Below are 27979 nucleotides of genomic sequence, written 5' to 3'. Positions count from 1 at the left end.
CTATATGTGATGATATCTGCTATACAGAACGTAAGATGTGCTTCAGATTGAGAGCGAAGCACTGAGTAACAACTGCTGCAACAGAGTCATGTGAAGGAGATTGGAAATTCTGGGCTCATAGTAACCTGTGATAGAGGCATTAGGTAAACAAAATATATGAATCTTGAAATTCCATAAGACATGGAAACCACATACATTTTTTGAGTAATGGTATATGACATCTTCTCATGGAAGACAAGTCATTTTTCTGTTTTGTTTTGTCTTTTGTTTTTCTAGTTAGAACTCTCCCTAATTTCTGGAACCCATAGCACCTACATTTACAAATCTGTGTGACACAGATAGAAAACACTTGCCATTTTCTCCTAAATTTTATAATTCTAAGAAGTTTCTATTTTTGTGTAAGTAAAGAGAAAATAAAAAATTTAACTAAAGTAAAATTAGATTCAACTCATGGCTCCAGATTTTGATGGTAGAGTTCTCATAATATAACCCATTTCATTTTATAAAGCTGTTATTTTATAATGTCATAACAATATTTTGTTTCACAGTTGTTTGAAGGTTGTACAGCTTTTAAAATTTACTATAAATTTATGGGTTTTGTATTCTGAACTGTTATTACATAGATCTCAGATGTCACATGGTTGGGAAAAAATATTTTCAGAATATTTGGGCCCTGTATATTTGCACAAAATGCTTCCTGTATCATTGACACCTTATGTGTCACTTAAGACACAGCTAAAGTACCATAATTCCTTAGCTGTCCCCATCTCCATTTAGCTTTAGGTCCCTTCTTTGTAAATCTCCTACACCTGGTATGTTACCAGGTACATAACACATGTTCAATATAGGTTTTATAATGACTGAATAATTCTCTTAACTTTTATTTACTTTAAAATATTATTCATGTGCCATCATTCTTTACTAAAAGAGGGGAATGGAACTCACATAGATATAATTATTTGCCCACCAGGAATGACATTGAGAGTGGGCAAGCAGTATCTGATTGCATGTCAGTAATACAATTCCTAAGTCATATTTAAACAATACCTAAAAAATTTAGAATAATCTCTATATATCTTTGGTCTTGGGGTATTTTTTAAAATTTATGTAAAACAAAAAAATAGTATGTTGTACTAAATTGTTATCTAAAATATTAGTTTCACAGTTGTTTGAGGCATTAATATGAATTGTGCAAAATTTTTTGAGAAATGATACTTTGTTAATGAATATTTTTGAGATACACTGGATTAAATTAATACAGACAGGGTTTTTTGCTGTAATGGTCTACCACATGAAAATATACCAGGCTACATGGAGAACTGACAGGAATCAGCTTTAGCCATCACTAATTGCTATAACAAAGTACCAGAGACTGGGTGACATAAACAACAGAAATTTGTCTCTCACAGTTTTGGAGGTTGTGAAGTCCAAGATCAAGGTGCTGACATAGTTAGTGTCTGGTAAAGACCTACTTCCTCATAGACAACAATCTTCTCACTGTAAATTCACATGGCAGAACTGGCTATGGGTCTCTCTCAAGTCTCCCTTATAAAAGCACTAATTGGCCAGTTGCGCTGGCTCACGCCTGTGATCCCAGCACTTTGGGAGGCTGAGGTGGGTGAATTACCTGAGGTTGGGAGTTCGAGACCAGCCTGGCCAACATTGTCAAACCCTGTCTCTATGAAAAATACAAAAATTAGCTGGGCATGGTGGCACCTGCCTGTAATCCCAGCTACTCAGAAGGCTGAGGCAGGAGAATTGCTTGAGCCTGGGAGGCAGAGGTTGCAGTGAGCCGAGATTGTGCCACTGCACTCCAGCCTGGCTGACAGAGCGAGACTCTGTCTCCAAAAAATAACAATAATAATAATAAAATAAAGGCATTAATCACCTTGCAAGGTGTCCCTACTTGCCCACTTTCAAGACCCCCCTTCTTCCTAGTACCATCACACTGGGGAAGATTTCAACATATAAATTTTTTGGCAGGGGCATTAACATTCAGCCAACAGCAGTGCTTTACATATATTAATTTACCTATTCCTTACAATAACCCTTGAGGTAGGTATGCTATTTTCTCTGTTCTAAAGAAGAGACATTAACACACCATAAGGGTGTAAATTGCCAAAGGTTATCATGTTAATAAGAGGCAGAACCTGAATTCAAATGCAGTAAGTCTCGCTCCAGAGCTTTATCCTAAACTCTTCCATTCAATTTCTATTAAAATGGAAAATTATTTTATTTTTGTGTTCAAATTCTCATTTGGAATTCATATTGATTACAATCAGTATCACTGACAAAAAAATCAAGATAGCATTGTTAATGAATATTCATAAATGTGTTACTATTCTTTCAAATTCATCAAATGTAAACTTAGTTGCATTCTTAAATATAAATGTATAACAATTACAGATAGATTTTTAAAGTTAAAATACACTTTTGGTTATTACAAATTTTAAAAGGCAAATGTACTTACGAGAATTTGATGAAACTTAATTACCATATTTGGTTATGAAGAAATCTCTACACTAAAAGCTTTTGGGCTTTGCCTAGAGTACATATTCTATTTTGTTTAGACCACTATTATAAGTCAAAATATAATGATGATGAGCAGTTGAGTGCTTCCTTATAACCGAGCCTTTATTAAACATTTTATATAACATAATGCTTTATTGAGGTTTCAGAACAACTCAGGGAAGTAGACAAAAAGACTGCTTTCTTTAACCTGTGATGATACTGGGTTGAAAGAAGCTAGGAAGCTAAGTGTTAAAATGAAGAAAACAAGATTTTGCAAAACTGCATATTTAGTCTAAGACTAAACAGCTAACACGTAACAGAACTGATATGCATCTATATATACATACACACACTGTTCTATATGAGAGTGATACATCATTCTCTTAATAATCACATGTAGGCCAGGCGCGGTGGCTCACGCCTGTAATCCCAGCACTTTGGGAGGCCAAGGTGAGCGGATCATGAGGTCAGGAGATTGAGACCATCCGGCTAACATGATGAAACCCCGTCTCTACTAAAAATACAAAAAATTAGCCGGGCGTGGTGGCAGGTGCCTGTAGTCCCAGCTACTTGGGAGGCTGAAGCAGGAGAGTGGCTTGAACCCGGGAGGTGGAGCTTGCAGTGAGCCGAGAGCTAGCCACTGCACTCCAGCCTGGGCGATACAGCGAGACTCCGTCTCAAAAAAAAAAAAAAAAAATCATATGTAACATTTTTTTTCTCATTTATAGCCAAATATGCCAACTTAATGTTTTCCTTTTAATTATTCTCTTTGAATAAAAAGTTTTAAGTTTGATGATTTCTTGCAATTTTTTTCTTTAAATTTTATTTTATTATTATTATTATTTTGAGATGGAGTCTCACTCTGTCACCGAGGCTGGAGTGCAGTGGCTCCATCTCGGGTTACTGCAACCTCCTTCTCCCAAGTTCAAGCAATTCTCCTGCCTCAGCCTTCCGAGTAGCTGGGATTACCGGTGCCTGCCACCATCCCCGCCTAATTTTTGTATTTTTAGTAGAGACAGGGTTTCACCATGTTGGCCAGGCTGGTCTCAAACACCTGACCTCATGTGATGTGCCTGCCTCGGCCTCCCAAAGTGCTGAGATTAAAGGCATGAGCCACCATGCCTGGCTCAATGTCATTTTATATATACATATATATCAAATAAGCAATACACAGTGCAAACTTCATCACCTTTCATTTTATCACTATTTAAATAGAGACATACAATGCAAATATTCAGCAATTATTTTCCAAATTATTTTAGTATTCTTTGCACTATAGTTTTTAATATGTGTAGGTAACACAAATTGTAAAGAATTTTGTGGCAGAAGTTGTGTCTACTATGCATTGCACTTAATTCAAATCGTGTATGTAGTGAACATTAAATGTGTGTGTATTCAATTAAAGTGAAATGGAATTGTCAGAAATTAATTGAAATAATGGAAATTTTTTCTGACTACAAAGAGTTAAATTTGACCAAAAACCTGAACTTGCCAACAGATTAGTCTCAACCAAAGCTGCAAAAGCAATGATATATAGTGATATACTTAATTGTCACATATATTGTTTATTTAAATCTGAGTCTTAAAAGTAATTTAACTTAAGTAAAACAAATTCTGCTGACATGCCTTGAGCATTTCAAGCTTTAATGATGTCTTGCACCACAGTGTAATTAACAGTAGCCATGATATATAACAATGCTCTGTTTTCTAGTGCTATAAACAGAAGGCTTATTCCAGATTGCTTGTTAAGGTACACACAGTATCAAAGTACACCAGATGAAACAACCCCCTAGTAACCACGTAATGAGATAAAGACATCTGTAACATAATTCTAGAACTTTGAATGTGAACATTTAGTCTTTGTAATGGTGCAGATGGGATTATCACCATCTCCATAGACACAGTTATTGGAAATAGACCAGCCTCCATTCCTTCTAGATCACTACTAGATAAATCATGTTTGCCTTCAACCACAAGAAAACCTCAAAGTTAATGAAAAATCTTAATGCTAATAATTATCACAACCCTAAAGTAAAATACAAATATTTCTTATAGCTGTAATAGAATACAAATTGAGGACATTATAATAATTATACTAATTTGATGCATAATTTTAGAAAAATTAAAGTCATGTGAGAAACATATCCACTATTCACTATATTTAGAGAGATGTAAATATCTGGCAGATAAATGGGGGATTTACCCATATATATCTAACTTACAAAAATGGGTGTCATTTCAGTTCATATAGTACAATAAATTTCTAATATTAAGAATTCTAAGGCCACTTATTTATTGATATATTGGTGGGAAAAACGAAGGGATACATATTGTGCCTTTCACTGTGTTAAACCTGTTTTTTGATAAAGTATATATGCATTGGAAAAGTTAAAGTATTTAAAAAAATCTGCCTACATATTCTTTTTTAAGTAATTATTAATCTAACTAATAATACATTTAGAGTATGGTTATAAGACTTTTTTTCATTTCAAATCAATATTCATAATTTGAAAATAATATGCTACAATTCTCATTTAACTTTTCTTTATTTTTTTCTTTATAACCTACACATATTAATACAAATTGTGGATTTTCAAAAAATAGAGCAAATTGCTCTATTTTTTGAAAATCGTCACAGAGACGAACGGAAAGGGCAAGTGAATACAGCACCTTCAACTGAAATATCCAGGTTCTTGGATTGGGACTGATTAGGAAAAAACTGGACACATGGAGAACAAAGAAAAGTAGGGTGGGTGGGACAATGACCCATGCAGGAGTGACACAGAGCCAAAGGAACCCCCACTCCCAGCCAAGGGAAGCGATAAGTGACTGCAACCCCTGGTAACCACATTTCTCTCAGAGATCTTTGCAACCTGCAGATCAGGAGATCCCCTTCTGAGCCCATGCTACAAAAGCCATGGGTCTGACACACAGAACAGTGTGAAATCTTGACAGAGCAGCTGCTCAGCCAAGCACAGAGACTCAAGAGCTTTACAAATTCCTTCCTTAGGATCCCCCACAAAGGTGTCTGCAATTCAGGCAAGGCGGGAGGTCCGCACGTACCCTTAGGAATGGGGCAGAATCCAGGGAACTGAGCAGTGTCATTCCGTGGGCCCCACTTCCAGGACACCTCACAAGATAAGATGCACTGGCTTGGAATTCCAGCCAGCCACAGGCAACAGGGTGAAACCTGTCTGAGACTCAGCAAAGCCCTAGGGGGTGGGGCAGGTGCCATCACTGCTGTTTGGTCAACTCAGCTGTTCCAGTCTGCGGGCTTTGGAGAGTCCAAACATCTGGATGAAGAGGGGTCCCCTGAGCAACACAACACAGTGGCTTTGGCAGATAGCGGCCAGAATGCTTCTTTAAGTGGGACCTGATCCATTTCTGGTCACTGGGGAGGATGTCCCAACCAGACCCTCCGGCCATGCCCACCAGCATGTATTAGTGACAGAGCTCTGATCTTCCTCTGGGATGGAGTTGCCAGGGAAGGGGAGTTGTCCACCGGGTTGGTTGGACAACTCAGCCATTTAGCCTGTGGGCTTTGGAGAGTTCAAGCTGATAGGGGCAGAAGTGATCCCCACCATGACACAGCTGGTTTGTCAAGGAGTGGCCAGATTGCTTCTTTTAGTGGGACACCATTCCACTCCTCCTCACAGGGTAGGTCCTCCCAGCCAGGGCATCTGGCCACTCATGACTGTGTTCTTCCTGGGACAGAGTGACTGAGGGGTAGGGCAGGCCACCACTTTGGCCTTTCGGGCTTCTCAGTTGGTCCAGGCTGTGGGCCTTGGAAAGTCCAAATGGATAAGGGGCTCAAGGGATTCCCAACACAGCACAGATGCTCTACCAAAAACCAGCTGGACTGCTTCTTTAAGCGAGTCCCTGATCCCATTCCTCCTGACTAGGTGAGACCTCAGAACAGGGGTCTCCAGCCACCTACAACAGTCATGTTTGGCCTGGCAATAGGTCAGTATCCCCCTGGGATAAAGTTTCCAGAGGAAGTTGCAGACTGTCATCTTTGCTGTGTCACAGACTTTACTGGTGAGATCACCAGGTACAGAAAAAAACTGAGGCAACTAGAGTCTGGAATGGAGCCCTAGTAAACTGTGCAGCCCTACAGAAGAATGGCCAGACAGTTAAAAGAAAAACAAACAGAAAACAACAACAACAAACCACAAAAACCCCATTCAAAGAGCAGAAATCTTTAAGATGGAAGGTAGATAAGCCAACAAAGATGGGAAAGAATCAATGCAAAGAACACTGAAAACTTAAAAAATCAGAGTGCCCCTTTTCCTGCAAATGACCGCAACACCTCTTCATCAAGAGCTCAGACCTGAGATGAGGCTGAGGTTGCTGAAATGACAGAAGTAGGCTTCAGAAGATGAATAATAACAAACTTCACTAAGCTAAAGGAGCATGTTGTAACCCAATGCAAATAAGCTAAGAATCATGATAAAACAATACAGGAGCTGACAGCCAAAATAGCCAGTTCAGAGTGGAATATAATTGACCTGTTAGATCTAAAAAACACACTATAAGAACTTCACAATCACAAGTATTAATAGCAGAAAGGACTGAGCAGAGGACTTGAAGGCCATCTTTCTGAAATAAGACAAGCAGACAAGAATAGAGACAAAAGAATGAAAAAGAATGAACAAAACCTCTGAGACATACAGTATTATGCAAAGAGTCTGCATCTATGACTGATTTGGGGTACCTGAAAGAGATGGGGAGAATAGAACCAAGCTGGAAAACATATTTTAGGATATCATCCAGAAAAACTTCCCCAACCTAGCAATACAGGCCAACATTCAAATTCAGGAAATGCAGAGAACCCCAGTAAGATGCTCCACGAGAAAATCATCACCAAGACACACAATATTAGATTCTCCAAAGGCAAAATGAAAGAAAAATGTCAAGGCCAGCCACAGAGAAAGGCCAGGTAACCTACAAAGGGAAACCCATCAGACTAACAGTGAACTTTTCAGCAGAAACCCTATAAGCTAGAAGAGATTGGGGGCCAATATTTAACATTCTTAAAGAAAAGAAATTCCATCCCAAATTTCATATTGGGCCAAACTAATCTTCATAAGCAAAAGAGAAATAAGATGCTTTTCACACAAATAAATGCTGAGGGAATTTATTACCACCAAACCTGTCTTGCAAGAGCTCCTGAAGGAAGCACTAAATATGGAAAGGAAAAACCATTGGCAGCCACTACAAAAACACATTTAAGTATACAGACCAGTGACATTATGAAACAACCACATAAACAAGTCTGAAAAATAATCAGCTAGCATCATGATGACAGAACCAAATTCACACATAACAATACTAACTTTAAATGGAATGGGCTAAATGCCCCAATTAAAAGACACAGACTGGCAAGCTGAATAAAGAACCAAGACTCATTGGTATGCTGTCTTTAAGAGAACCCATCTCATATGCAGTGACACACATAGGCTCAAAAGAAAGGGATGGAGGAAAATTTACCAAGCAAATGGCAAGTAGAAAAAGCAGGGGTTGCAATCCTACTTTCTGGCAAAACAGACTTTAAACCAACAAGGATAAAAAAAGACAAAAAAAGGACATTACATAAGGGTAAAGACTTCAATTCAACAAGAAGAGCTAACTATCCTAAATATATATGCACCCAATACAGAAGCACCCAGATTTATAAAGCAAGTTACCAGAAAAGTTCAAAGAGACTTAGACTCCCACACAATAACTGTGGGAGACTTTAACACCCACTGACAATATAAGTGAGATTATCAAGACAGAAAATTAACAAAGACATTCAGGACTTGAACTCAGCTCTGGATCAAGTGGACCTGATAGATATCTACAGAACTCTCCACCCCAAAACAACAGAATATGCATTCTCCTCATCACCACATGGCACGTACTCTAAAATTGATCACATAATTGGAAGTAAAATACTCCTCAGAAAATGCAAAAGAACTGAAATCATAACAAACAGTCTCTCAGACCACAGCACAATCAAATTAGAATTCAGGACTTAAAAATTCACTCCAAACCACACAACTACATAAAAACTGAACAATCTGCTCCTGAAAGACTCCTGGGTAAATAATAAAATTAAGGCAGAAATCAAGTGGTCCTTTCAAACTAATGAGAACAGAGATAACATACCAGAATCTCTGGGACACAACTAAAGCAGTATTAAGAGGAAAATTAATAGCACTAAATTCTCACATCGAAAGGCTAGAAAGATCTCAAGTTAACAACCTAACATTACAACTAAAAGAACTAGAAAACCAAGAGCAAACAAACCCTGAAGCTAGCAGGAGACAAAAAATAATTAGGATTATTGCTGAACTGAAGGAGATAGAAACATGAAAAACAATTCAAAAAAATCAACAAAGCCAGGAGCTAGATTTTTGAAAAAATTAAGAAAACAGATAGGCTTCTAGCTAGAATAAAAATAATAAAAGAGAAGATTCAAATAAACACAATCAGAAATGAAAAAGGAGATATCACCACTGATCCCACAGAAATACAAACAGTCATCAGAGAATACCACAAACACTTCTATGAAGACAAACTGGAAAATCTGGAAGAAAGGAACAATTTTCTGGACACATTCATCTTTCTAAGACTGAATCCGAAAGAAATTGAATCCCTGAATTGACCAATAATGAATTCTGAAATTGAGTCAGTAATATAGCCTACCAACCAAAAAAAGCTCAGGACGAGAAGGATTCACAGCTGAATTCTACTATTGTTATAAGAAAGAGTTGATACCATTTCTATTGAAACTATTGCAAAAAATTGAAAAGGAGGGACTCCTCCCTAACTCATTCTATGAGGCCAGCATCATCCTGATACCAAAACCTGGCAGAGATACTACACATGCACACATACAAAACTTCAGGCCAATATCCCTGATGAACATCAATGCAAAATTCCTGAACAAAATGCTGGCAAACCAAATTCAGCAGCACATCAAAAAGCTTATCTCCACAATCAAGTAGGCTTCATCCCCAGGATGCAAGGTTGATTCAACATATGCAAATAAATAAATGTGATTCATCACATAAACTGATCTAAAGAGAAAAACCACATGATTATCTCAAGAGATGCAGAAAAGGCCTTTGATGAAATTCAACATCCCTTCATGTTAAAAAGTCTCAATAAACTAAATATTGAAGGAACATCCATCAAAATAATAAGAGACATCTATGACAAACCCACAGACAATATCCTACTGAATGGGCAAAAGCTGGAAGCATTCCCCTGGAAACCAGCACAAGACAAGGATGCTGTTTTTCACCACTCGTATTCAATGTAGTCCAGGGCAATCAGGCAAGAGAAAGAAATACTGGAATTCAAATAGGAAGAGAGAAACGCAAACAATCTTTGTTTGCAGATAACATGATCTCATATCTAGAATACCACATAGTTTCAGCCCAAAAACTTCTTAAGCTGATAAGCAACTTCAACAAAGTCTCAGGATACATAATCAATGTGCAAAAATTGCTATTATTCCTATACACCAACAATGGGCAAGCCAAGAGTCAAATCATGAAAAAACTCCCATTCACAATTGCCACAAAAATAATAAAATACCTATGAATATAGCTAACAAGGAAAATGAAGTATCTCTTCAAGGAGAGCTACAAACCACTGCTCAAAGAAATCAGAGATGACACAAACAAATGAAAACACATTCTATGCTCTTGGATGGGAAGAATCAATTTTTTTTTCTTTTTTTAATTATACTTTAAGTTCTAGGGTACATGTGCGCAACGTGCAGGTTTGTTACATAGGTATACATGTGCCATGTTGGTGTGCTGCACCCATTAACTCATCATTTACATTAGGTACATCTCTTATACTATCCCTCCCCCCTCCCCTCACCCCACAACAGGCCCCAGTGTGTGATGTTCCCCTTCCTGTGTCCAAGTGTTTTCATTGTTCAATTCCCACCTATGAGTGAGAACATGCGGTGTTTGGTTTTTTGTCCTTGCGATAGTTTGCTGAGAATGATGGTTTCCAGCTTCATCCATGTCCCTACAAAGGACATGAACTCATCCTTTTTTTGTGGCTGCATAGTATTCCATGGTGTATATGTGCCACATTTTCTTAATCCAGTCTATCATTGATGGACATTTGGGTTGGTTCCAAGTCTTTGCTATTGTGAATAGTGCCACAATAAACATACGTGTGCATGTATCTTTATAGCAGCATGAAGAATCAACATTGTGAAAATGGCCATGTTGAAGACACCATATGCAATTGCAACAAGAGCAAAAATTGCCCAAAGCAATTTATAGATTCAATGCTATTCCCATTAAACTACCATTGACATTCTTTACAGAATTAGAATAAAACTATTTTAAAATTTATATGGAACCAAAAAAAGAGCCCAAATAGCCAAGACAATCCTAAGGAAAAAGAACAAAGCTGGAGGCATCATGCTACCCAACCTCAAATTATACTACAAACCTGCAGTAACCAAAACAACATGGTACTGGTACAAGAACAGACACGTAGACCAACGGAACAGAATAGAGAACCAAGCCATAAGACTGCACACCTACAATCATCTGATCTTCCACGAACCTGACAAAAACAAGCAGTGGGGAAATGATCCCCTATTCGATAAATGGTGCTGGGAGAACTGGCTAGCCATAAACAGAAGATTGAAACTGGACCCCTTCCTTACACTGTATACAAAAATCAACTCAAGATGGATTAAATAATTAAATATAAAACCCTAGAAGACTATCTAGTCGATACCATTTAGGACATAGGCACCCGCAAAGATTTCAGGTTGAAGACACCATATGCAATTTCAACAAAAGCAAAAATTGATGAATGGGATCTAATTAAACTAAAAAAATTTTGCACAGCACAATAAACTATCAGCAGAGTGAATAGACAACCTACAGAATGAGAGAAAATTTTTGCAATCTATCCATCTGAAAAAGGTCTAATATCTAGCATCTACAAGGAAGTTACACAAATTTGCAAAAAAAAAAACCATTAAAAATTAGACAAAAGACATGAACAGACACTTCTCAAAAGAAGACATACATGCAGACAACAAACATATGAAAAAAAGCCCAACAAAATCACTGGTCATTAGAGCAATGCAAATTAAAACCACAATGAGATAGGAATATGGTTTGTCTCTGTGTCCCCACTCAAATCTCATGTCAAATTGTAATTCCCACATGTCAAGGGAGGGACCTGTAATTTCCCCTTGTAGAGGAAGGGGGGTGATTGGATCATGGGAGCTGTTTTCCCCATGCTATTCTTGCGATAGTGGGTGAATTCTCATGAGATCTGATGGATTTAAAAGTAGCAGTTTTTTTCCTGTGTACTCACTTCTCTCTCACCTGCGGCCATGTAAGATGTGCCTGCTTTCCCTTCCACCATGACTGTAAATTTGCTGAGGCCTCCCAGCCATGTCAAACTATAAATAAATTAAACCCCTTTTCTTTATAAATTACCTGGTCTCAGGTAGTTCTTTATATCAATGTGAGAATGGACTCATACAGATACCATCTCAAACCAGTCAGAATGGATAATATTAAAAAGTCAGAAAAGAACAGATACTGGCAAGGTTGTGGAGAAAAAGGAATGCTTTTACACTGTTGGTAGGAGTTGTAAATTACTTCAACTATTGTGGAAGACAGTGTGGTGATTCCTCAAAGACCTAGAGGCAGAAATACCATTTGACCCAGCAATCCCATTACTTGCTATACCCAAAGGAGCATAAAATATTATAAAGATAAATGCACATTTATGTTCACTGAAGCACTATTTACAGTAGCAAAGACATTTAACCAACTTAAATGCCCTTCAATGATAGACAGGATAAAGAAAATGGGGTACATATACACGATGGAATACTATGCAGTCATAAAAAGGAACAAGATCATGTCCTTTGCAGGAATATGGATGGAGCTGGAAGCCATTATCCTTAGCAAACTAACACAGGAACAGAAAACCAAATGCTACGTGCTCTCACTTATAAGTGGGAGCTGAATGATGAAAGCACATGGACACATAATGTGGGGGACAACACACACTGGAGCCTGTCAGAGGGTCAGCGGGGAGAGGAGGGAGAACATCAGGAAGAATAGCTAAAAGATGCTGGGTTTAATACCTAGGTGATAGGATGATTTGCGCAGCAAATCACCATGGAACACATTTTCCTATGTAACAAACCTGCACGTCCTGCACATGTACTCCTGAACTTAAAATTAAAAAGTACAAAAAAAACTAATTAAAAATGAGCTGAACATATATCTTGCTAAAGAAGATGTAAGGATAAAAAATAAACATACAAAAAGATGTTCAACTTCTTATGTTATAGGAAATTGCAAATTTAAACAAAAATGAGATTCCACTACATATGTTTAGAAATGTTAAAATCCAAAATACTATCAACAGCAAATGCTGGCGAAGATGTACGGTAACAGGAACTCTCATTTGCTACCACTGGGAATGCAAAATGATACAGCCACTTTGGAATACAGGTTGGTTATTTCTTATAAATCTAAACCTGTTCTTACTAATTGAACCCAGCAATCATGTTTCTTCCTGTTTACCCAAATTGAAAATTTGGTAAGTTGAAAACTAATGTCAAAATAAAAACATGCATACAAACATTTGTAGAAGCTTTATACATAATTGCCAGAATCTGGGAGCAACCAGGACATCTTTCAATAGGTGAATGGCTAAACAATCTGTGATATATCCATACAGTAGAATATTACCCAAAGATAAAAAGCAATCAACTCTAAAAACATAAAAAGACATAGAGGAACCTTAAATATGTATTGTTAAGTTAAAGAAACCAGTATGAAAATGCTATGTAATGTATTCTGCTTATTTTTCTGTAAACCTAAAACAGTTCTAAAAATAAAGTCTATGAATGAAGAAAATTCTTTGTAGTACATTAACTTTTAAATTTTTTATTCTTATTTATATGGCATTTTGTATTTTTAGGTTTGTAATAATTTAACCTTTCAATTTGTTTCTTTTCAACAGTTTTATTATAGCAGAAGTATAATTGATACAAAACACTGCACATATTCAATGTATACATGTTAATGAGTTTGGACATATGCATATAACCATGAGACCATCACCACAACCAAGATAATAAATGTATCCATCATCTCCAAAGGTTTGTTGGGCCTTTATTCCTATTAGTGGTAAAAACACTAACCACAAAAAGGGAGAGTTAACAGGGCTGGTGTTAACAGGGCTGTTAACAAATTTTCTAAGTGCATGATTCAGTATTGTTAAGTATAAGTACTGTGTTGTACAGTAGATCTCTAGAACTTATTCATCTTGCACAACTAAAACTTTATACAAAATCAACAAGCTTTTTCTCATTAAGGATATATAATACTTATATAGATACTCTTCATTTTTATGTGTGTATGTGTATACACATGCATATTGTGTATATATGTATACACACTAAGTGAAAGATGTGTGTGTACACACATATGCATGTGTATATATAGTCAGAATCTCTGCTCCCTCTTTTAGTAAAAATTCCCATTTTAGCTGTATTATTTATGAATGAACTAGTTATGTTATCATATTTATCTTCTCTAATGAACTATTTGTTAATAAATCTGTCTTATTACATCTGATATACACCTGACTATATTATTTCTTTGAAGCTATTGTACATTTTATGATGGCATGTGTCCTAATTTTAATTCCCACAAAAGCAGATTCTAAAATAAGAACTAAGAGAAGGGTGTTAGTACATGATGCCAGGACTCACAATTGAGAGTATGAAGAGAGTAAAAACGAGACATTTTAAAGACAATGAAAATTGCCTGAAGAAGTAAGTTTTCACTGTGGGCAACTGAGGGTTAATCTCATTGACTGCCTCTAAGATGTGATATAGAACACCTCCCAGAATTGTCCACCAGAATATAGAGAGGTTGGGACATTATTTGGCTGGCTTTGAGCCCCCATGGCTTTAGAGTTTGCTCTTGGGAAGTGTCAGTTTTCTCACATTTCTTGGTTGCAGTTGTCTTTTATTGAGCAAGCTTGGGATACATAGTTAAAGCTCTCAGGGAGAGAAATAGAGGGTCAGGTACTTGGGGCATGGAGCTATCAAAGTCAGTATGATCTCTCACAGCTAAAAAGAAGATAAAAAGAAGGCGGAGCTGAAAGGAGAGGTTGGCCAAGAAGATAGGTGATGGGGATCTACACCATCTGCCACACCACAGTCATTCTCTCTCTAGGTTTATATCCCTTTCTTTCATAATAAGTTCATTTTTGCTGGTGAAATATTTTTTAAAAATATTTCTTCTAAATTTACAAATGGTTAACAAATACATTCAATATTTTTAAATGTTATTTTGATAAAAAGTAAATTATTCAACACAGTACAATATATACAATTTTCTCAATTATATAAATATTTATATATGCATACACATGGGTATACTGGTATGTGGAGGCTGTGTTTATGGCAGGGGGAAAAACAAAAACAAAATTAAAAATGTTTATGACCAATAATGAGACTAGAGATAGTACTTATTCAAATGTGGTGATTTTGTTTTAAATAAATTTGTTTTAAATAAACTTTTGCTAAGTAATTTAATACCCCCTTAGTATATTGAATAATGAAATAAACCAGTGGAACAGAATTTTGGTCCCAGAAAGAAACTCAATCAGATACGAAAGAAAAGGCATATGTCATTACAAAGATGGCATTATGGATCAGCAAAGCAAGAAGAGTATTAATAGATTTTATTGGAATAATTGGGTATCAGTGTCAAAAAAATTGGATGCATTTATATACCACGAAATATTGTTTTCACTAATTATACAATTCTAGTATAAATAATAATTTAAATATGAAAAATAATACTTTATAATGTCCAGGAGAGAATATCAAGAATATGTTTAAGCATTTTAAAATCAAAAGAAAGAAGACTCTTCCAAAGCTTGAAAAAAGATATAGAATAATGGGAATTCACACAAACTACCTACTAGTGGTTAGTTATATTTTAACAAGCATTCACTATGACAAAATAATAACATTCCCAGTTCTATTTCTTTTCTTTAGTCTTTTTTTTTTTTTTGAGACTGGTCCTCACTCTATTACACAGGAGTGCAGTGGCATGATCACAGCTCCCAGCTATATTTTTAAAAATAACAATCATGCTCTACAGAAGTATACCTGCTGTGCTATTTGAGGTCCTACCATTCCCTGCTAGGAAATTCCAGGCATCCCCTACTGCCTGGAAATTTATGAATCTTAAGATGAATGATACATGGGCATTAATAGATTTGAGGTGTTGAATAAAAATTGTAAGACGTCATTGTTGCAGACTAAGCTCCTCCACTAAGCCCCAATAGGCTACACTAAAAATCAAAATAAAGTCACTCATGCTGTGGCTCCACATCACCAAACTGAAACTGAGTTGTAGTCTGGCCTTCCAGGAGATCAGGAGAGAGAGAAAACTTTCTAGTTTCCTAAGCAGGCCAGTTTCGATTGGCATAACAAAATTTCCTTCATTTTAATCCTTACAACAAAATGAAACCTGAAGTGACCTGATGGTAACCAGTTATTTTTCTATTATTCTGTGTCCCTGACCCCACCTTCCAAGGAAAATAAGTTTTGAAATGACCAATCTGCACTTTGATCTTTGTTTCTGCTTTCTTTGGCTACTTTTTTCATAAAACCACCCCCCTCCACGCAGCTCATTGGAACACTTATTTTATTTCATAGAATGGAGCGTTGCCCAATTTACAATAATGCTGACTGAGATCTTTAAACTAAATTTGTTTTAATTTTGTCTTTGACAGAAGTAGAAGGGCCCACATTAAGTCTAAAGTGAAAGAAAAGCAAGAGGATGCAGGTGGTATTGGGCTTTTATGTTGGTCAGAAGGTGGAGCTGGTGAGGCTGGTGTCAAGCTTACAGATGCAGAAGACAGGAAAAGCCAAGGACTGATGCATCGCCTCAGTAATATCTACATTAGCATAGTTTATTATGTGCATAGATAGCAAAAAAAGAACAAGGGAAAAAATGATGGAACCCTGTGATCCTGGTCCCATATACCAAGAAGGCTGGCATCACAACAAGTGCTTAATTACAACATGAGTAGTAGAATATCTCATTACTGAGGAGTCTAAATTTTATAGCTCTACTCTGAGGGGGAAAGCAAGGCCAATATTCCCATACCTCAGAAACTGATAGATTCAGAAATACTGCCTTCCCCCAGCCTCCCAAGTAAGACAAAGAGGCGAGTGGGAGATTATCTCAGAACAGCTTCTTACAAGGATCCCACTCATGTCCCAGGGAGATCAGATAACACCATGCTCCAGTGAAAACTCAGACTAGGTGCGGGTCAAGCCTATGCCCACGTGGCCTATTTAGATATGTGCAAAATGACCAGAATACCATAGTGGAGCTTGCCCCCTACAGCTGAGGTTGGCCTAGTTTGATTGGAATTAAGAGCCTGTGCCACCTTCCACCACAGATTGCCCAGATGTGAAGCATAAAGTAAAGAGAAGGGGTAGGGACTTGAAAGGAGTCAGCAGTATAACCCCAAACCAGAGTCCTTCTTTTTATTATTATATGTGCACAAGAATATTATTTGCTAAATTCTTCTACTATATTAATAAAAATAATATGGTACTGCATTTCTAAAATGTTCATTTTTCACATTATCACCATTGCAATGTATCTGCCAATCCATGTTGTTATTATAGTTGTATCTGCTACTGTTGATGCTCTCTTATTGATAGATAAAACAGTGATACGTCCTACAATTAAGGTCATCTTCAATTTCTTGAAATAGTGTATGTATTGTCATTTTGATTATATAACGTATTTCATAATAAAATGTTTTAATGGAGAGTCAGAAGTAAAATATTGAAACAGCAAATAAAAACAACACTTGCAAGGATACTTGCTATAAAAAGGAATGACATTGGATAAATAGTGGCATGTGTGATCAGAGAAATTTTTTTTTAAAGATGGAAGATATTACAACATGTATTTAATCTGATGGGATGATTAAATAAAAAGACAATTATACCAGAGGGAGAAGACGTAATTTCCGGAAAAAAGTATTTGAGAAAAGATGAAAAAAATAATGACCCAGGATACAGCTCTAAAGAGGGGGCTTTGAATAAAAATAAAAACTTGTGACATCAGAATGGACTATAGAATATATTGGTAAAGGTACAGTTTCATTGCTAAATTTGATGCCCGGAAAATTAGACTCTTCCAAATGCTTCAAATTATCTCATTGGAATAGTACTTCACTAATTCAGGTTGCTGTAACTGCCACAGTCTGAGTCACTTTCAAACAACAAAAATGTATTTCTCACAGTTCTGGAGGCCGTAAGTCCCATGATCAGGGTGATCAGGGTGCCAGCCTGGTTTGATTCCAGTGAGAGCCCTCTTTGGGGTTGCACAACAGGACTGTATTCTCACCTGGCAAAAAGAAGTTGGGTTCCTTTTATAAGGGCACTAATCTCATTCATGAGGGCTCTACCTTCATGACCTAATTATCCTTTAAAGGCACCATCTTGTAATGCTATCACATTGGGAGGTTACAATTTCAACATCTAAATTTGGTGGGAGCCACGATGCGGGGCGGGCATAAATATTCAGTCCCTTGCAGAATAGAAGGAAATTATCAGCTGAGGATAGGAAGATAGAATATGTATGGGATGTTCAAAAGAGACAAAGACATGTGAAATATTTTTGGGGGAGAGTAAGAAAGTATGAAACACAAATTTTGTAGATACATATTTAAGTCAGAAAAGTTATTTTTTATATGGATGAATGGATCAGTTATCTTTCATGTATGTGCACATTCTGCTCTTCCAGGAAAGGAACAGAACAGATAGAGAATTTAGTTTCTATCAAGGTTGCAGTTATATGAAATATGTTTAATAGAAAAATTGGAGCAAGGACTGTGTATAAATGTATAAATGGCCAAGGGCAATGAAGAGTACAAAATGGACCAAGCATGAATAATATCTAGAAAAGATCAGCACAGAAATGGCTAATGAGATAGAAAAAAATGGGTCAAGTCAATTCATTACAGACTTTAAGGAAGTAAAAATATTTTTGGAATGTAGGCACTAAAAAAAGACAAATTAGAAAGTGTTGGAAAAAGGTAAGTGTTGATTAAAGTGGGATGCTTGAAACTGAGATTTTTTTATAGTTCTACAGCTACTGACAATCACGAAGCTTAGAATATAACAATGGGAGTTTCTGACTGAGTGACTTGGAGCAACAGGCTATTGGAACTAGAGAAGTCAAAGAGTGGAGGTATTCACCACTGCTTTCCAGGTAAAGACCCCTGGGAGCACACTTGTACTTGACCAACACATTGTGAGGAGGTGAGACACACACCATGGGGAAATGTGGGGCATTTTAGTAAGATGTTACAAAGGAATTATTATATTTTTGGACTTTGGTTGAGATTGAAATGGACTTTGGGTAGCAAGGCTTTGCTCTAGATGGGATGCTATCAAGAGGCAGGGGGCAATCTATGATCATTTTAATTCATCTTACCTATAAGAAGGAAAGACTAGGCCAAGGATAAACTAGTAACTGTTAAAGAAGAGGCAGTTGTTCCTATTAGTTAAGATAAGGGGGCCAGATGCCGTTCATGCCTTTAATCCCAACACTTTGGGAGGCTGAAGTGGGGGTTTCATTTGAGCCCAGAAGTTAGAGACCAGCCAACATAGGGAGACTTCTCTAGGACTCTACAAAAATAAAAATTAGCTCATTGTGGTGGCACATACCTGTGGTCCCAGCTACTTGGGAGGTTGAGGTGGGAGGAACACTGGGGATCAGGATGTTGAGGCTGCAGTGAGCCTTGATCACGACGCTGCACTCTAGCTTAGGCAACAAAGTGAGACTCTGTTTCAAAAAATCAGCAGACATTTAGACATTTTTGTGGTTAGAAAAATATATTTTATACTGTGATCATACAAGTTTATGTTACTAACTTGTTTTTCATTGATTAATCACAGTTGCAGATTTGCCTTGTCTGATGTTAATATTCCACTAATATTCCAAAAAAGTCCTTATGTTCAACAGAAAACACCAAGGCCTCACTGTGAGCAGCAGGCCAGCTTCTGTCACCACCAAAGCATAGCCGATAGTAGCGGGCTAGCTTTGAATGACACAGGCTGCCTTTCTCTTTCTCAGGAAGCCCATTTTCCATAATTAAAACAGTATCTCTTACAACTACAGGAGGTCACACAACCTGTATTTAACCAGTAAGTGGTAAGAATGAGTCATTGGAGAGCTTTTGTTTTCTTGCTCAAGCAGCAGACACAACAGGACAAATTCCATTTTTTAAAATCTTATCAGATTCAAATATGGCCAGATGATTTGAGATACATCAGCCTTCTTATGACTAAGAGGCAAGGCAAAATTATGAAGACAACAAACCAACATTCTGAGAATTGCAGAGCCTGAACAGAGACCGAACCAAAGCTAGGAACTGCCTATATGTGGACTTCAGATTATGTGAGAAAAATATGCCTATATTTGTTAACCCAGTTAGCAAAGAATATGTTACAGATGGAAACAATCAATTGCAAGTGAAACAAAAATATTCTTTAAAATATTGAAAACTGTAGAATCTTGCTTAGATCAGGCTGGAAATTCCAGAAGGTACAGTACATCGCTTGGTTGGGGATGGTGATTTTTGGATCAGACCAGACTGATGGAGGCAAGCCCTGGTGATGATGTACAACCTGGAGGCTTTACCTACTGGTGGTGCCTGAATGATTGATTGGGTCAGGGAAACCTCCATTACAACACAATCTATTTTGGGGAACTGGTTGCATAGGCAGTTTTTAGTCATGATGGAGACAATAATCTGGTGAGTGGGTGGTGTGGGTATGCAAAGGGGAAGTAGATTTACTCAAAATAACTGGAGCTCTGGAGAGCTCAAGGAAACCCTAATTTAAGCCTCTGCCCAAATCTGTTTGTTCATTTTTTCTTTCTTTTTTTGTCCTCCTTTCTTTTTTCCTTCCTTCCTTCCTCTCTCTCTCTCGCTCCTTCCTTCCATCTTTCCTTCTTTCCTTCCTTTTTTCTCTCTTTCCTTCCTTCATTTCTTCCTTTTTTCTTTCCTTCCTTATTTTCTCCTTCATTCCTTCCTTTCTTCTCCTTCCTTTCCTTCCTTCCTTCCGTCCTTCTTTCTCCTTCCTTTTCTTCCTTCCTTCTCTCTCTTCTTTCTCTTTCCTTCTCTCTTTCTCTTTCTCTCCTTCCTTCTCTCTCTTCTTTCTCTCTCTTTCCTTCTCTCTTTCTTTCTCTCCTTCCTTCTCCCTTCCCTCCATCCTTCCTTTTTTTTTTCCTTCTTTCCTTCCATCCTTCCTTCCTTCCTTTCTTTCTCTCTCTCTCTCTCCTTCCTTCTCCCTTCCCTTCCCTTCCCTCCATCCTTCCTTTCTTTCTCTTTTTTCTTTTTCCTTCCTTCCTTTCTTTCTTTCGTTCTTTTGTTCTTTCTTTCTTTTTACTCTCCTTCTTTCTTTCTCTCTTTCATGGAGAGGTAAAAGGTCCTCTTAATAACATAGATGAACTTAATCTTAAGTAATTTTGTCCATCTTATCAAAGGCAATTTTTAAATCAGACACAATAATATGGATGATTACTTCTATGCTCATTGAATGCCAGGCAGTATGCTAATCCCTTCCCATTGGTGTAATATATCTTGAAATCTGTAAACCAGGGACATGGGGATTAAAAGAAAAATCTATAAAGGAAATTTTGAATATATGCAGAAAAGGAAACCATACTATACATTCTATGGTCCCATATACCTATAACTTTGAATTTGTCAGGATCTGTTTTACCAGAACACAACTCCTTAATTCACTTCATGGTCTCGAGAATAATTATATATGAGTCCTAATATATATGTGAGGGAAATGACAACATCTGTAAAACCTTTTATATTTTCATATTTTCTTTTTAAATTTTTTATACCAACTAAAGATAAGAATTGACAACAATACTGTGCTCTAAGCTTTTCCTGATTTATAAGTATGTATAGCCATTTTCATTTTCCTACACAGTTATTTACTAATTATGAGACTTTAATAAAAATTTTTCTAAGTATGTTTTTTTCTAAAATTTGACAAGTAAAGGTCTTGTAGTGTTTATTAAGTTGTCTTTATTTGTTCCTTCCTTAATTCATACCATAGATTCTATTTTAATTGCACATTTAATGCTTTCATTGTTTTTATTCTTTAACCCTTTCTCCAATTTTCCTCCTTCCCCTAATTCCTTGGTAGTCTTTTTTTTTTAAATTATTATTATACTTTAAGTTTTAGGGTACATGTGCACAATGTGCAGGTTAGTTACATATGTATACATGTGCCATGCTGGTGTGCTGCACCCATTAACTTGTCATTTAGCATTAGGTATATCTCCTAAAGCTATCCCTCTCCCCTCACCCTACCCCACAACAGTCCCCAGAGTGTGATGTTCCTCTTCCTGTGTCCATGTGTTCTCATTGTTCATTTCCCACCTATGAGTGAGAATATGCGGTGTTTGGCTTTTTGTTCTTGAGATAGTTTACCAAGAATGATGATTTCCAATTTCATCCATGTCCCTACAAAGGACATGAACTCATCATTTTTTATGGCTGCATAGTATTCCATGGTGTATATGTGCCACATTTTCTTAATCCAGTCCCTCATTGTTGGACATTTGGGTTGGTTCCAAGTCTTTGCTATTGTGAATAGTGCCGCAATAAACATACGTGTGCATGTGTCTTTATAGCAGCATGATTTATAGTCCTTTGGGCATATACCCAGTAATGGGACGGCTGGGTCAAATGGTATTTCTAGTTCTAGATCCCTGAGGAATTGCCACAATGACTTGCACAATGGTTGAACTAGTTTACAGTCCCACCAACAGTGTCAAAGTGTTCCTATTTCTCCACATCCTCTCCAGCACCTGTTGTTTCCTGACTTTTTAATGATTGCCATTCTAACTGGTGTGAGATGATATCTCATTGTGGTTTTGATTTGCATTTCTCTGATGGCCAGTGATGGTGAGCATTTTTTCATGTTTTTTTTGGCTGCGTAAATGGCTTCTTTTGAGAAGTGTCTGTTCATGTCCTTCGCCCATTTTTTGATGGGGTTGTTTGTTTTTTTCTTGTAAATTTGTTTGAGTTCATTGTAGATTCTGGATATTAGCCCTTTGTCAGATGAGTAGGTTGCGAAAATTTTCTCCCATTTTGTGGGTTGCTTGTTCACTCTGATGGTAGTTTCTTTTGCTGTGCGGAAGCTCTTGAGTTTAAAGAGATCCCATTTGTCAATTTTGGCTTTGGTTGCCATTGCTTTTGGTGTTTTAGACATGAAGTCCTTGCCCATGCCTATGTCTTGAATGGTAATGCCTAGGTTTTCTTCTAGGGTTTTTATGGTTTTAGGTCTAATGTTTAAGTCTTTAATCCATCTTGAATTAATTTTTGTATAAGGTGTAAGGAAGGGATCCAGTTTAAGCTTTCTACATATGGCTAGCCAGTTTTCCCAGCACTATTTATTATATAGGGAATCCTTTCTCCATTTCTTGTTTTTCTCAGGTTTGTCAAAGATCAGATAGTTGTAGATATGCGGCGTTATTTCTGAGGGCTCTGTTCTGTTCCATTGATCTATATCTCTGTTTTGGTACCAGTACCATGCTGTTTTAGTTACTGTAGCCTTGTAGTATAGTTTGAAGTCAGGTAGCGTGATGCCTCCAGCTTTGTTCTTTTGGCTTAGGATTGACTTGGTGATGCGGGCTCTTTTTTGGTTCCATATGAACTTTAAAGTAGTTTTTTCCAATTCTGTGAAGAAAGTCATTGGTAGCTTGATGGGGATGGCATTGAATCTATAAATTACCTTGGGCAGTATGGCCATTTTCACGATATTGTTTCTTCCTACCCATGAGCATGGAATGTTCTTCCATTTGTTTGTATCCTCTTTTATTTCCTTGAGCAGTGGTTTGTAGTTCTCCTTGAAGAGGTCCTTCACGTCCCTTGTAAGGTGGATTCCTAGGTATTTTATTCTCTTTGAAGCAATTGTGAATGGGAGTTCACTCATGATTTGGCTCTCTGTTTGTCTGTTATTGGTGTATAAGAATGCTTGTGATTTTTGTACATTGATTTTGTATCCTGAGACTTTGCTGAAGTTGCTTATCAGCTTAAGGAGAGTTTGGGCTGAGACAATGGGGTTTTCTAGATATACAATCATGTCATCTGCAATCAGGGACAATTTGACTTCCTCTTTTCCTAATTGAATACCCTTTATTTCCTTCTCCTGCCTAATTGCCCTGGCCAGAACTTCCAACACTATGTTGAATAGGAGTGGTGAGAGAGGGCATCCCTGTCTTATGCCAGTTTTCAAAGGGAATGCTTCCAGTTTTTGCTCATTCAGTATGATATTGGCTGTGGGTTGTCATAGATAGCTCCTATTATTTTGAGATATGTCCCATCAATACTTAATTTATTGAGAGTTTTTAGCATGAAGGGTTGTTGAATTTTGTCAAAGGCCTTTTCTGCATCTATTGAGATAATCATGTGGTTTTTGTCTTTGGTTCTGTTTATATGCTGGATTACATTTATTGATTTGTGTATATTGAACCAGCCTTGCATCCCAGGGATGAAGCCCACTTGATCATGGTGGAGAAGCTTTTTGATGTGCTGCTGGATTCGGTTTGCCAGTATTTTATTGAGGATTTTTGCATCAATGTTCATCCAGGATATTGCTCTACAATTCTCTTTTTTGGTTGTGTCTCTGCCCGGCTTCAGGATCAGGATGATGCTGGCCTCATAAAATGAGTTAGGGAGGTTTCCCTCTTTTTCTATTGATTGGAATAGTTTCAGAAGGAATGGTACCAGTTCCTCCTTGTACCTCTGGTAGAATTCAGCTGTGAAACCATCTGGTTCTGGACTCTTTTTGGTTGGTAAGTAAGCTATTGATTATTGCCAGAATTTCAGCTCCTGTTATTGGTCTATTCAGAGAGTCAACTTCTTCCTGGTTTAGTCTTGGGAGGGTGTATGTGTTGAGGAATTTATCCATTTCTTCTAGATTTTCTAGTTTATTTGCATAGAGGTCTTTGTAGTATTCTCTGATGGTAGTTTGTATTTCTGTGGGATCGGTGGTGATATCCCCTTTATCATTTTTTATTGAGTCTATTTGATTCTTCTCTCTTTTCTTCTTTATTAGTCTTGCTAGCGGTCTATCAATTTTGTTGATCCTTTCAAAAAACCAGCTCCTGGATTCATTACTTTTTTGAAGGGTTTTGTGTGTCTCTATTTCCTTCATTTCTGCTCTGATTTTAGTTATTTCTTGCCTTCTGCTAGCTTTTGAATGTGTTTCCTCTTGCTTTTCTAGTTCTTTTAATTGTGATGTTAGGGTGTCAATTTTGGATCTTTCCTGCTTTCTCTTGTGGGCATTTAGTGCTATAAATTTCCCTCTACACACTGCTTTGAATGTGTCCCAACGATTCTGGTATGTTGTGTCTTTGTTCTCATTGGTTTCAAAGAACATCTCTATATCTGCCTTTATTTCATTATGTACCCAGTAATCATTCAGGAGCTGGTTGTTCAGTTTCCATGTAGTTGAGCGGTTTTGAGTGAGTTTCTTAATCCTGAGTTCTAGTTTGATTGCACTGTGGTCTGAGAGACAGTTTGTTATAATTTCTGATCTTTTATATTTTCTGAGGAGAGCTTTACTTCCAACTATGTGGTCAATTTTGGAATAGGTATGGTGTGGTGCTGAAAAAAATGTATATTCTGTTGATTTGGGGTGGAGAGTTCTGTAGATGTCTGTAGCCTCTCCTCCTCCAAAGGAACGCAGCTCCTCACCAGCAATGGAACAAAGCTGGATGGAGAATGACTTTGACGAGATGAGAGAAGAAGGCTTCAGACGATCAAACTACTCCGAGCTACAGGAGGAAATTCAAACCAAAGGCAAAGAAGTTGAAAACTTTGAAAAAAATTTAGATGAATGTATAACTAGAATAACCAATACACAGAAGTGCTTAAAGGAGCTGATGGAGCTGAAAGCCAAGGCTCGAGAACTATGTGAAGAATGCAGAAGACTCAGGAGCTGATGCGATCAACCAGAAGAAAGGGTATCAGTGATGAAAGATGAAATGAATGAAATGAAGTGAGAAGGGAACTTTAGAGAAAAAAGAATAAAAAGAAAGGAACAAAGCCTCCAAGAAATATGGGACTATGTGAAAAGACCAAATCGACGTCTGATTGGTGTACCTGAAAGTGATGGGGAGAATGGAACCAAGTTGGAAAACACTCTGAAGGATATTATCCAGGAGAACTTCCCCAATCTAGCAAGGCAGGCCAACATTCAGATTCAGGAAATACAGAGAATGCCACAAAGATACTCCTGGAGTAGAGAAACTCCAAGACACATAATTATCAGATTCACCAAAGTTGATATGAAGGAAAAAATGTTAAGGGCAGCCAGAGAGAAAGGTCAGGTTACCAACAAAGGGAAGCCAAACAGACTACCAGCGGATCTCTCGGCAGAAACTCTACAAGCCAGAAGAGAGTGGGGGCCAATATTCAACATTCTTACAGAAAAGAATTTTCAACCCAGAATTTCATATCCAGCCAAATTAAGCTTCATAAGTGAAGGAGAAATAAAATCCTTTACAGACAAGCAAATGCTGAGAGATTTTGTCACCACCAGGTCTGCCCTAAAAGAGCTCCTGAAGGAAGCCCTAAACACGGAAAGGAACAACTGGTACCAGCCACTGCAAAATCATGCCAAATTGTAAAGACCATCGAGGCTAGGAAGAAACTGCATCAACTAAGGAGCAAAATAGCCAGCTAACATCATAATAACAGGATCAAATTCACACATAACAATATTAACTTTAAATGTAAATGGACTAAATGCTCCAATTAAAAGACACAGACTGGCAAATTGGATAAAGAGTCAAGACCCATCAGTGTGCTGTATTCAGGAAACCCATCTCACGTGCAGAGACACATATAGGCTCAAAATAAAAGGATGGAGGAAGATCTACCAAGCAAATAGAAAACAAAAAAAGGCAGGGGTTGCAATCCTAGTCTCTGATAAAACAGACTTTAAACCAACAAAGATCAAAAGAGACAAAGAAGGCCATTACATAATGGTAAAGGGATCAATTCAACAAGAAGAGCTAACTATCCTAAATATATATGCACCTAATACAGGAGCACCCAGATTCATAAAACAAGTCCTGAGTGACCTACAAAGAGACTTAGACTCCCACACAACAATAATGGGAGACTTTAACACCCCACTGTCAACATTAGACAGATCAACGAGACAGAAAGTTAACAAGGATACCCAGGAATTGAACTCAGCTCTGCACCAAGTGGACCTTGGTAGTCTTTTTAAATTCTCATCTTCCCTTCCTCCCATTCAATTCTTCTTTTCCTGACTTTTTTTAAAATAAAATTTTTCTCATGTTAGTCCACATGTAAATTAGTAAACTTTCAAATTTGATATACAATGGTTGCTAGTACATTAAATTTTAAGTATGTGCAGATAGAAATAAATATATTTGATGTAAAAATGTATTTTTATGTTTGCTTTAGAACTCTTGGAGCTAACCATACCACTTATTTGACAACTTTTAAAAATAACTGTATATCATTTTATACTTTCTTCAGTGATCTCTTAGAAGTAGGTTGCAACTTGATAATCTTAGGACATTAACATCCTAGCCTTGAAAATAACGTTTATTTTCATTGGCATGCATCATTTTAAAAGTCAAAAGGCAATCACATTTACACTTTTTTTTAATTTTAATTTTTTTACAGTTGAGTTTACTTTTTTTTTTTTTAACATTTATTTAAGTTGAGGGGTACATGTGCAGGTTTGTTACACAGGTAAACTTGTGTCATGAGGGTCTGTTGTGCAGATTATTTCACCACCCAGGTATTAAGCCTAGTACTCATCAGTTGTTTTTCATGATCCTCTCCCCCTCCCACCTTTTACCCTCCCATAGGCCCCAGAGTGTTTTCCCATCTATGTGCCCACGTGTTCTCTCACATTTAGCGCTCATTTATAAGTGAGCACATGTGGTATTTGGTATTCTATTCCTTAGTTTGCTAAAGATAATGGCCTCCAGCTCCAACTGTCCCTCCAAAGTAAATGATCTGATTCTTTTTATTGGCTGCATAGGATTCCATGGTATGTATGTACAACGTTTTCTTAATGCAGTCTACCATTGATGGGCATTTAGGTTGATCCATTTTCTTTGCTATTGTGAATAGTGTTGCACAAACATACACATGCATGCATTTTTATAATAGAATGATTTATATTCCCTTGGGTCTATACCCAGTAATGGGGGTTCTGGGTCAAATAAATATTTCTGTCTTTATGTCTTTGAAGTATTTCTGTCTGGCATAAAGGTTTTTCTGTCTTTATGTGTTTGAGGAATCGCCACTCTGTGTTTCACAATAATTGAAATAA

At 37.2% G+C, this 27979-nt stretch overlaps 1 long non-coding RNA gene across 33 annotated transcripts in view; it reads right to left on the bottom strand.

The window, feature by feature from the left end:
• LINC02377 (long intergenic non-protein coding RNA 2377) overlaps positions 1 to 27979 on the bottom strand; it is a 338568-nt gene that overhangs the window by 271416 nt on the left and 39173 nt on the right. For 18 of the 33 annotated variants that reach the window (NR_183920.1, NR_183918.1, NR_183919.1 and 15 more), the window contains one exon: positions 19292 to 19409. The exons of 14 other annotated variants lie outside the window; for them this stretch is intronic. This is a non-coding gene — a long non-coding RNA (long intergenic non-protein coding RNA 2377). Of the gene's footprint in view, positions 1 to 17860; positions 17967 to 19291; positions 19410 to 27979 lie in introns of all 33 variants that reach the window. One more of the 33 variants, NR_183945.1, reaches the window with a different exon arrangement.

This window comes from Homo sapiens, chromosome 4, assembly GCF_000001405.40.
Source record: "Homo sapiens chromosome 4, GRCh38.p14 Primary Assembly".
NCBI classification, from domain to species: Eukaryota; Metazoa; Chordata; class Mammalia; order Primates; family Hominidae; genus Homo; species Homo sapiens.
This window is presented reverse-complemented; position numbering and strand designations above follow the sequence as displayed.